The 11,432-nt window shown below is 37.4% G+C and overlaps 1 long non-coding RNA gene across 1 annotated transcript in view; it reads right to left on the reverse strand.

Moving 5' to 3' along the window:
• The window catches only part of LOC101927414 (uncharacterized), a 55,601-nt gene extending 45,241 nt beyond the window's left edge, over positions 1-10,360 (reverse strand). The window contains exons 1-2 of the long non-coding RNA NR_187911.1: positions 10,315-10,360; positions 1,736-1,828 (exon numbers count right to left, since the gene is read on the reverse strand). This is a non-coding gene — a long non-coding RNA (uncharacterized LOC101927414). The remainder of the gene's footprint in view (positions 1-1,735; positions 1,829-10,314) is intronic.
• Positions 10,361-11,432: the final 1,072 nt, after the last annotated feature.

The raw sequence follows: 11,432 nt of genomic DNA on the forward strand, positions 1-11,432 counted from the left end.
GTCATTAGTGAAGGCTAGAATCAAGGTTTCAGGAGAAATATGTTCCTTCCAAATCTTCCAGGGAAAATCCTGCCTTGACTCTTCCATCTCCCGGTAGCTCCAAGCACTCCTTGACTTGTGACCGCATAAGTCCAAATTCTGCGTGTCTTCGTATGACCTTCTTCTCTCTGTTGGCTGTGTGTGTACCCTCTCTTTTTATAAGGACGTCAGTCCTTGAACTTAGTGTACATAATCATCTACAATAATAATACAGTGACTTCATTTTGAGATCCCTAACTAATTTCATCTGCACACCCGATTTCCAAATAAGGTCACATTCTGAGGTTCCAGGTGGGCATGATTTTTTAGGGGACACTATTCAACACCCTGCAAGAAACTATTATTTTAGTCCAGGAGAGATACGACAAAGAAGGAGTGCACAAATGAAAGAGAGAGTATTCAGAACATCATTTTTTGGTGTATGATTGGATTTAATAATTAGAGTTAGGAAATAATTAAAGATGGATCCAAGGTCTCTACTTTGGGAGAGGGAGAGATTGTTATCTCATTAGCTGAGATAGGAAATAAAGATGTAGGTTTGAGAGTACATCTGTGTAGTGGGTTTGATTTGGACATATTAACATGAATAGGCCTTTCTGCTCTCTTAGGGAGAGATGTCTCAGAAGCCATAAGAAATAAACTTTAATCTCAGCCTGTGTTGAAAGAGAAGTTTTGATGGAAGAACAAAATTAAAGAGATAGAAAGGGGATTATATTCAGAAAGAGGAATACTCACATGTGAGAATCTTTGAAAATGAAATAGCTCTGAATGTTCAGTTGTTTCACTGAAGATTTCAAGGAGGAAATCCACACAGCAGAAGAATCAAAATTCAATGGGAAGAGAAAAACATGACAGAAAATTGTGACAACATTTCCAGAAGCATAAGTGGAAAGAAAGAGAAAGGTAGTTAGAGGAGACTACAGGATCAAGTCAGGGGTTTGACTTTTGAGGTAAAGAAATATGTTTATGTTCCAAAGGAAAGAAATCACTGAAAAGGAAAGGATTAAAGAGAAATAGGAAGACAAAAATTTGGTGGGCAAGACATAGGAGGATAAATAGGGAAGGAATTTTTAGCACATGACGTTTTAGCCACAGTTACACCTCCCTGATGGGCAGAGTTGGTTGTATGCAAAGTCCAGGGGCAGAAGCAGGGAAGAGAAGGTCATCCTCAATATCATAATTTATCTGGGGAGAAGTAGGGCATATCACTTGCTGATGTTGAGGTTGCTAATGGCTTGAGGAGTGTGATGACAGTTTAGAACAGCCCCTGGATTGCAAAGAACATGAACAGAAACTAGAGGGTTGTTGCTGAACTTTGGATTATACTTATGGTAACCTCATCACTGAGAACTTCCCAGATTGCTGCTTTTCTTACTATACTTCTGGAGTGTGCTGAAAGCCTCTTTGAGGTTATTTACCTCTGAGTTTGTAGATGACATTGCCTTTAGTGCTTGTCTATAAATACCAAAGAAAAGTCAGTTTTGTTGTTCATTATTTTCTAAAAGGCTTTTGGAAATTTATTCAAGATACCATCTTCCACAAAACCTAAAGATTATATTTATGTCCTTGCTGACATCAAGCAATTTATGAAGCTAAATAGAAAGATCAGTCTTAGAAACAGGGTCATAATATTTCCCTGAAGCTGTCACCCAAGTAAAGCCAAACATGTTAGAGAACTCATTATAAGGAAACTTACCATACACCAGGCCTTGAAAATGAACTCTGAAAACTTGCCAACTACTTTTGAGATTAAAACAATTTCTGAGCAGCATTTGGTCCTAACTTTAATCTGTAATAAGAGAAGAAAGTGGAATTTAATTCATTTTACTACTTTTCAAAGTAAACTACCAGATCAAATAACTGGTTGATGATTTAGGGAAAAGGCACTGGAGCCAGATGCCTGTGTTTGAACTTGCCCTTTACTAACTTTATGACCTCATATAAATTGCTTTATCTTTCTGTGCTTCAGTTTCATGGTCTGTAAAATGAAGATGAGAATAGAAAGTATCTTATGCCTTGTTATAAAATTAAATGAATTAATATTTGTAAGCACATAGCACCTAAAATAGTATTATATGAGTATTTGCGAAATGTGTTTATTTTAATACACAAAGGTGACTGGCTGATGTTGGGGCTGCTAATGCCTTGAGGAGTGCTCCCCAAAGAGCACTTACACTTGAGTGCTCTTAAGTGCTCTTACACTTAACATAAAGGTGTATTAAAGGTTTAGCACACCTTTAATACAACAGTGTATTAAAATAAAAGAGCTTATTATAAAAAACGGTTTAATTTGGCATATTCTACTGAACACCAATTCCATATAATCCCTACTCTGGAAGCTTTAAAGATAACTCAGATTTCACAGGAGATAAAAATAAGTTTACACACATGTACATGTGTACACACACACATGCACACAGAGGCACGCACTCTGTAATTTTATTAGTGTTAGACAGTTGATGATAAAAAGTATTTTTTAAGACCACTAGGGTATGATTTAACCCTGTCACAAAATAGGACAGATAAGGTTAGCAAATTATTTTTTCATAAATATATAGGTGAGCCTCTTGACATTTATAAGGAATGCATTCTTATGTTTTTTCTTCCTCCCAAAGGCAATTATCAAATAAATAATTATAATGTAAATATTGGAAAATAGGTTAAGTGTGTACTATTCAAATTCTTCCAATTCCTTCTTAGATAGGTTACATACACTACATCTATAACCAATAAATCAACTTTTAATTTTATTTAATCAATAAAACAACATATGCTTCTATGGTAGAATATCCTCGTTACATATTATAAAATTTCATGAACTGTTAAGTCATTTGTAAAACTGTGAATATTAAAATGAAATATGCCCAAACCAACTTTTTGTGTATAAATTATAGTTTGTATATATATATATACCCTTTTTTATATATAAACATAGAGAATTATACATGTCTTTACATATGTATACTAAAAGTCCATGTGCAATCTGAAATATTCTCCAACATTTTCGTTGATTTCATGAAATTTTATATTTCTTTTCAAATTGGCATATTTCACTTAGCTATCTATTTGCATTATTTTCCACTGCATTTTCAGCAGTGTAAAACAGTTTGCAATTATCAATGTATAGCTCTACAAATATATTAAGACCATTTGGGGGCTAATTTTATAAATAGGTAACTAATTAGTGAATAAGTTTGTCTTATGAGTACCTATGCTTCTTTTTGTAGCCTCATAATTTTGGAAATTCAGATATTCAACTCTTGCTAGTTTAATCTGTCTTGGAGTTTCTGTGAGTGAGTCACTGGACCAAAAGCTGACCTAAAGAGATGCAATATTGTGTAGGAAAGCATATTCATTAAAGATATATGAATAGCACAATATTTAACATTAGTGCCTAATTCTAAAGGAACCCAGGTTTTACAACTTTATATGCTGAAGCATCGATACAATTTAATAGTATATATTATCTCATAGTGCTTTGTAATTGATTTATGATTCTTTCATACTTAAGAGATATTCTAAAATAAATTCTCTGAAGTCCCTAAGAAGAGATATTAGTGAGATGTTCCTACCATAGACTGCCAACTCATTCCGTTATCTACCTAGACTTCTTCTACCTTCTGACTTTTAAAGTATAACTCAAATTCCACATCATCCACTGCTATTCACACTAATCTATTCCTCTTCTGAATTTCCACAGCAATACCCTATTTCCAGCAGGATTTTTTTTCAAGTATTCACACACTGCTCTGTGCTCTTATTTGGAAATGTCATGTACTTAAAATTTGTTTCACCAGTTCAAGTGCAAGCACATTGGCATGCTTTGTGTTTCTCTTGGCTGGGCCACAGTGCTTTTTTCATGTAGCATGAAACAACAAACACTTGGAGAATAAAAATTAATACAACTTAATCTCATCAAATTCAGCATCTATGTCTAATACTTTTTTCTGTCTTCCATATGATCTAAAGTAGCTGAGAAGCCGCAGTATTGTTTTCAAAAATACGTACATGGTGGCTATCATCCAATTGATAGTTCTATAAAATATCTGTTAAGAAATTTGACTGGTTTTACAAAATGTAGCACAGCATAGGAAAAACAAATTATTAATTTCAAAGTCATGGTAAAATTCTCTTTACTGATCATAGGTGATATGTATTTATAAAGAAAGATATGCATTCGTAGGGAAAGATAGCTGTCATGTGGAAGAATAAACATGAAGTTTACAGTCTGATTGGAGTTTTATTACTGTCCCTGTCTCTCAATAACTGCGTGACTTAACAAGTTTTTTAAACATTTTTGAGCCTCATTTTTTATGTATGTTAATAACATTTGTTCTACAGAGTTTTGTTTTAAATAATAGATGCAACAACAATGACAAAGTACTTTTAAGCTATATAAAGTTAGGATTTTCAGAATTATTTTGATATCAAAATGTTACTGTGACACAATTCAAATTTCAGATTAAGAAAATTAATAACTGTCTCACCTGAATTATATGGAACAATACACAAGTATTCTATATACACACAAGATAGAAAGCTAAGAATAAGAAGTAAACAAAAACCATCTTGTATTTATAGAATACTTTCTTTAAAACAACCTATAACTCAGCCAGAATTTACTGGTTACAAGGCATATAGTTATCTATAAATACAAAGAAGCCCTCAAGGAAGGAAATACTGAATCATATTTTTATGCTGCTACTCATGCATTTTTATTAAGAATTTCAAAACCAACACTTGAAATGAAACTGAGACATTGTAAAACATCGGTTTTACAACTCTCCATTTCTGCCTACTCCAAGTCCAAGAAACGTTTGATAAATTTTGAAGATACTATATCCTGAGTTATTTCTAATTGCTCATTTACTCATTTATGCATTCATCCAATCAGTATTGATGTAATCAGTATTTTTTTCTCAGACATGCTGATAGATTGTAGGTGTATGGTTGTAAACTGCACACACATGTTCTCTGCCTTCATGGAGTTTATAGCTTAGTGGGGAATTAAAAATATATGTAGGTTAGCAATTTAACATACATATGAGTTCGTTCTATGCTAAGTAAAAAGGGGGATAAAATAGTGCCGATTTTGAGATCAGCATTATAGAATCTACTTTAGAAGAGTAGTGTAAAAGTCTTCAACTAACTGACTTCTAAGTTGAGTCATGAAGGATAAGAAGTCAATTTTACGAAGAGCAGAGAAAAGAGTCTCTGCAAAGGCTGTGGGGAAGAGCATGTTTTGATGCACTTGAACAGCATCAAGAACTTGAAGAAGCTGTCGCCGCTGGAGCTGAGAAAGCAGCAGAGGTGGGCACATGAGTGGATGGTGAATAGGAAGTCAGGACTGAAACCAAACAAGTCCTTGGGAACCACGACAAGAATTTTCATTTTATTTGCATTACAAAAGCTATTGAAGACTCTTAAACAGACGGCAAATTAATAGATTTATGCCTTTTAAAACAGGATTTTTTTTTAAGCTGAAAGAGAGTAAAAGGAGAAGCAGGGAAGTAATAAAAAACACACCTCAGTGCGCCACTGCACTCCAGCCTGGGGGACACAGAGCAAGACTCCGTCTCAAAAAAAAAAAAAAAAAAAATGCATACCTCAGGAGCCTGCGTTGTCTAGGTGACAGGTGATACTGGCATGGACTAATGGGGTAACAGAAAGTAACAGCATCTGTCTTTAATGTATTTTCCTTTAAAAAGTGGAACTGTCAGTGAAAGAAATTGAACTGGGGGTTCACTTAAAATCCTTGGTTTATTTTAGGGAAAGGGGAAAAAAGAGATTTTTATTAACTTCACTGCTACCAGCACAAATATATTCATAGAAAATATATCTCTGGTCTGCCTTGTTCTAAAAAACCTTATCTTAGAAACATTCTATTATTTCAAGGAAGTTATGCTCTAAAGATTGTCAAACATTATTTTTACACATGTATTTAACATTTTCTACGTTCCACACACAACGATTGATATTTTTTGTATATATTTATCTAATTTCCATAACAATACTATCTCCTTTTTTGAGGTAAAGAATGAGAAAAAAATAAGAAACATGTCTAAGGTCCAAGGTGATACCACTCACTAAATTGAGAACTTAAGGCCGGGTGCGGTGGCTCATGCCTGTAATCCCAGCACTTTGGGAGGCCGAGGCGGGCGGATCACGAGGTCAGGTGATGGAGACCAACCTGGCTAACACACGGTGAAATCCCGTCTCTACTAAAAATACAAAAAATTAGCCGGGCGTGGTGGCAGGCACCTGTAGTCCCAACTATTCGGAGGCTGAGGCAGGAGAATGGCGTGAACCTGGGAGGCGGAGCTTGCAGTGAGCCGAGATGTCGCCACTGTAACCTGGGTGACAGAGCGAGACTCCGTCTCAAATAAATAGATTAATTAATTAATTAATTAATTCAGAACTTAAACCTGCTCTTGCCTCTGCTTGACTCCAGACCTCATGGTCTCTGTCCCAATTCACCAGTTGTTTTCTTCCTTCCTTCCTTTCTCCCCTTTTTTCTTCTTTCCTTCCTTCCATCATTTTTTCCTGTCCCAATTTACCAATTCTTTCTTTGTTTCTTTCAAAAAAAAGTATTGATTTATTCGTATTTTACTTTTTTACATTAGTTATTTATATTATTCTATTTTTAAACATTTTTTTCTATGTTCCACAAAGAATTTCTTAATTTTATTCTATTACTCTGAACTCCAAGACATAGAAGGGAAGTATTAACTCTTAATTTACCTTAGTTCATTTTCCATTACTATAACAGAATACCTGAGACTGGACAATTTCTTTATTTTCTTACTTTTACTTTTATTTTTATTCTTTGAGCTGGAGGCTCGCTCTGTTGCCCAAGCTGGAGTGCAGTGGCATGATCTTGGCTCACTGAAGCCTCCACCTCCCAGGTTCAAGCGATTCTCCTGCCTCAGCCTCCTGAGTAGCTGGGATTACAGGCATGCACCACCATCCCTGGCTAATTTTTTTTGTATTTTTAGTAGAGACAGGGTTTCACCATGTTAGCCAGGCTGGTCTCAAACTCCTGACCTCAGGTGATCCGCCCACCTCAGCCTCCCAAAGTGCTGGAATTACAGGCGTGAGCCACCATGCCCGGCCAAGACTGGGCAATTTATAAAGAAAGGTACTTATTTGGCTCTTGGTGCTGGAGTCTGGGCAGTGCCGGATCACGTGGCTGCATCTGGTTGGCTTCTGGTGAGGGCCTTGTGCTGTGTTATAACATGGTGGAAGATGTCACAGGTCAAGAGGGTCAAGCCTGCTACTCAGAGCTGTCTCCTCTTAGAAAGCCACTATTGCCTCTCACTCCTATGACTGCTTTTAATCCTAATCATCTCCAAAAGGTGCCACCTTTCAAATACTATAGTCAGATTTCTCACCTTCTTTCTATCTTTACAATAGGGATTAGGTTTCAACATGAATTTTGGAGGAGACATTCAAATCATAACATAATTTATCCTGAAATAATTCTAAATTGGTACGTTCATCCCAAAACTCCAAGTCTGTGCAGAAGCAGACCTGCTGTGCCCCAGCATGATGATAGAAACTTGGATGAATTTACTAGTTGTGAGTAGGACATATTGTCAAATATCTCTCTGTCTCCTTGTCAATATGCTCCTTGTCAAATATTCCTCTGTCTCCCCTACAACTATTTCATGACCTCCATTAAAATCTCTTATTACTCTGATCCTTTTAAGATAAGCATGTCATCAGAACTGGTTAGTATGAAAATAAATGGGTAGATACAGAGTTAAGCAGTGTGAAAACCATACAAACCCATGCTAATACAATGAGAAATCATCGAAGAGAGTGGTTATAGTACCAGCTAATTTTATGGAAAGAAACATCTTTGAGCAGCCTAAATCATGGCTTCTCAACTTTGCCACTACTAACATTTTGGGTCGATGATTCTTTGTTGTGGAAGGTGGTCCAGTGCATTGTAAAATGTTTAGAAGAATCCCTAAGCACTATCTACTTGATGTCAGTAGCAACACACCTATTCTCCATCCTGTTATGACAACCAATAATATTTTAGGACATTGCCTAATTTCCTGTGGGGAGGGGAGCAAAATTAACCCTGGTTGAAAACCACCGGTCTAGAGCATAGAATTCTAGTCAGAGAACACATTCCAGCTGCAAAAAAATACATAGTATTCCTAGGATGTTCTCAAAATGCTAGTACTAGCTGGTAATACAGAAGTGCCCAAGAGTTTCACAAAGCATAAGGGAAGGTGAGTGGATAATGATCAAATGAAGGTTCTATGTTATGTTATTGGGGGAAAAAATAAAGAAGAAGAGTAAGAAGAAGGAGAAGGAGGAGGAGGAGGTAGAGGAGGAGAAGGAGAAGGAGGAGAAAGAGGAGGAAAAACAAAACTCTGGAGTTTGAGCTGCTTCAAATATGGCAGAGCTGGCCAGGAGTGGTGGCTTACGCCTGTGATCCAGGCACTTTGGGAGGCTGAGGTGGCAGATCACCTGAGTTCAGGAGTTTGAGACCAGCCTGGGCAACAAGGCAAAACCACATCTCTACAAAAAATAAAATTAAAAAATTAGCCCGTCGTGGTAGTGTGTGCCTGTGAACCTAGCTACTTGGGAGGCTGAGGTCAGAGGATCACTTGAGCCTGGAAGAGGAGGTTGCAGTGAGCCAAGATAGCAACATTGCACTCTAGCCTGAGTGACAGAGACCCTGTTTCAAAAAAAAAAAAAAGATGGCAGAGTCTAGGTGGTTGCTTTCCAGGTAGATAGGCAGGAGCAGTGATGGGAATGAGAGAGAGATTCCAGACAGAAAATAAATACTCTGGAGAAAGGCATGGATTATGAAGATGCTTTTTTTTTTTAAATGAACATTGTTTGCAGAGTAGGAAAGAAGTTTCCTGACTCAATATAAAAAGACTTCTGTGCCTAGGAGTTTATGCCATATTCTAGAGGTAACAGAAAATCATCAAAACATTGCAAGAGGAGATTTACTTATAAAAACGGATAGATGTGTAGGTGGGTAAGAAAGTTTAACAATTTTATATCTGTGTCAGCAAAGCCATAGTCTGTAGGGGAAATCTAGCTCCCTGCCTCATTTTATGAATAAAGTTTTATTGGAATACAGCACACTTATTTATGCTACAATGGCAGAGTTAAGTAGTTGTAACAGAGACTGTATATAGTTTGCAGAATATAAAATATTGTATATCTGTCCCTTTATTTAAAAAGCTGTCCAATTTTTTAAGTGTAGAAAGTTACCTGTTAAATTTAAATTAAATATTTAATTTAAAAAGTTGCCCATTGCGTTTTGATGTTCCTACCCACCTTCTGCCTGCCCCAATTCATATGTTGAAGCTCCAGTATGACAGTATTTGGCCATACAGCATATAAGGAGAAAATTTAGGTAACAGAGGGTCAAAACAATGGATCCCTAATTCAATAGGACTGGTGTCCTTGAAGAAGAGGAAGAGACACAAGGGAGCTAGTGCTCTCTCTCCTTCCTCCTTGCTCTCTTTCTCTTGCTTTTTCTCTTTGTGTACATACAGAGGAAAGATCATATGAGGACACAGCCAGAAAACAGCTATCTACAACCCAAACAAAAGGCCTTCTCAAAAACTGATTCTGCAGGCAACTTGATCTTGAACTTTCAGCCTCTGGAACTGACAAATTATACTTCTGTTGTTTAAGTCACTCAGTGTGTGGTATTTTGTCACACAGCCAGAGTAGACTAATATGACAATCCTTGGCCTAGATCATTTATTTATTCAAGAACATTATGCACAGTAATTTTACAGAGCATTAGAATTACTAATATGTGAAAACCACGGTTTCTACCCTATCAAAGCTCATAGCCTAGTAGAGGGAGACAGATGTGTATTTGGCTGACAGTCTACATGGGCAGTTTTCAAACAATTTTAATGTGCAGAGTCACTTGATTCTTTTTTTTTTTTTTACTACCTAAGATAATAAAAGGAAAAAACTGTTCTCATCTGCTTGGAGATTTTGATAGTGACAGGAGACAGACAAATTCCTAGGCAGACAGAGATGGGTCCCTAGTGAAACCCCACCTTCAAGCTAATGACAGTCTAAAGGCTGAAAGCCGAGCTACCAGTTCCAGTTAAAGTCCACGACCAGAGTGAGAACTTCCATCCTTGTCTTACCCACTCTTTCTCAATTGCTTCTTTCTGAATGATGTCGTTTAACCAATTAAATGGTGCTTTTTCCAAGACCACCCATGGACCAATCAGCATGCATTCCCCCATTATAAGCCCATAAAAACCCCACACTCACCCTCACAGATGGCGACCTGCTTTCAGGTCCCCTCTCGCTGATGAATAAAATTCTACTCTGCCTTACTCATTCTCCGGTGTCCATGTTCCTCATTCCTCTTGGTCATGGGACAGGAACTCAGAATTTGCTGAACTGTGGGAGCAAAAGAGCTGTAATGCTCCTACTCACCAAGCTGTGGGTGGCAGAAATAAAAGAGCTGTGACACTTCCTCCCACTTGCCAAACAACGGGAGTGAAGAAGCAACTGGGTGCAACTCCCTCCTGCTTGCTGAACAATGGGAGAGAAGTTGCTGCTGCTTATTGAACTACAGGAATGAAAAAGCCACAACACTTTTACCATTTGACCCTCTCTTGCTTTAAAAAACAGATAAACAGAATTTTTGTGCAAAATGGCTTGAAGATGCAAGAAAAGTGCTTACAACAACCAGAAACAGATCTCCCAGGCTAGGGATGGGCTGGAACAATATGTCTTGTTCTAGGACCCAAGCAACCTGGGGCCTCTTCCCTGGCAGCAACTCAAGTAGAGCCTTCTGTGTCTGGGCATGCATTGTCAACAGGGGTGATATCACTCCAGGGGACAAAAATTGGTTCATGAGTGGTGAGAAAAATCTTAGGTATTACAATAGTCCATAATCTCTTGAAGGGCCACAATAACATATTAACAGGTAGACAACATAGCTGTATAGAGGGACAAAAGGTTGAGAAATGCTGGTCTAGAGAAATTGACCAATTCTGGGAAACCCAGAGGGAATCCTACTCTGTATAATCCTAGCACAGAAGCAGCAGAGTGGTCACACCAATAGACCATGTGGACACTGAAAAAGGATTTTACCAAGAAACTAAAATGACAGATGACTAACAAGTCTTACCGTACCTTAGCACCACATTACAGTCCTCCAGAAACTTGGCAACAATCTTGTGACAGAAAAGTCTTCAAGAATAATGAAGGTTGAATTCCCCACCAGAGGGGTTCAGATGTATATTCCCACAGAGGGAGGGGTCAAGTTGAAAATGTGGGAAATAGATTGACATCAGTTTCTTGCACTGAGTTTGTAGAAAGAGATTCAGACCTGCTGCTATGGAAACAATAATATGGAATACAGGGTAAATAGACATACT

This window comes from Homo sapiens, chromosome 4 (genome assembly GCF_000001405.40).
Source record: "Homo sapiens chromosome 4, GRCh38.p14 Primary Assembly".
Classification (NCBI taxonomy): Eukaryota; Metazoa; Chordata; class Mammalia; order Primates; family Hominidae; genus Homo; species Homo sapiens.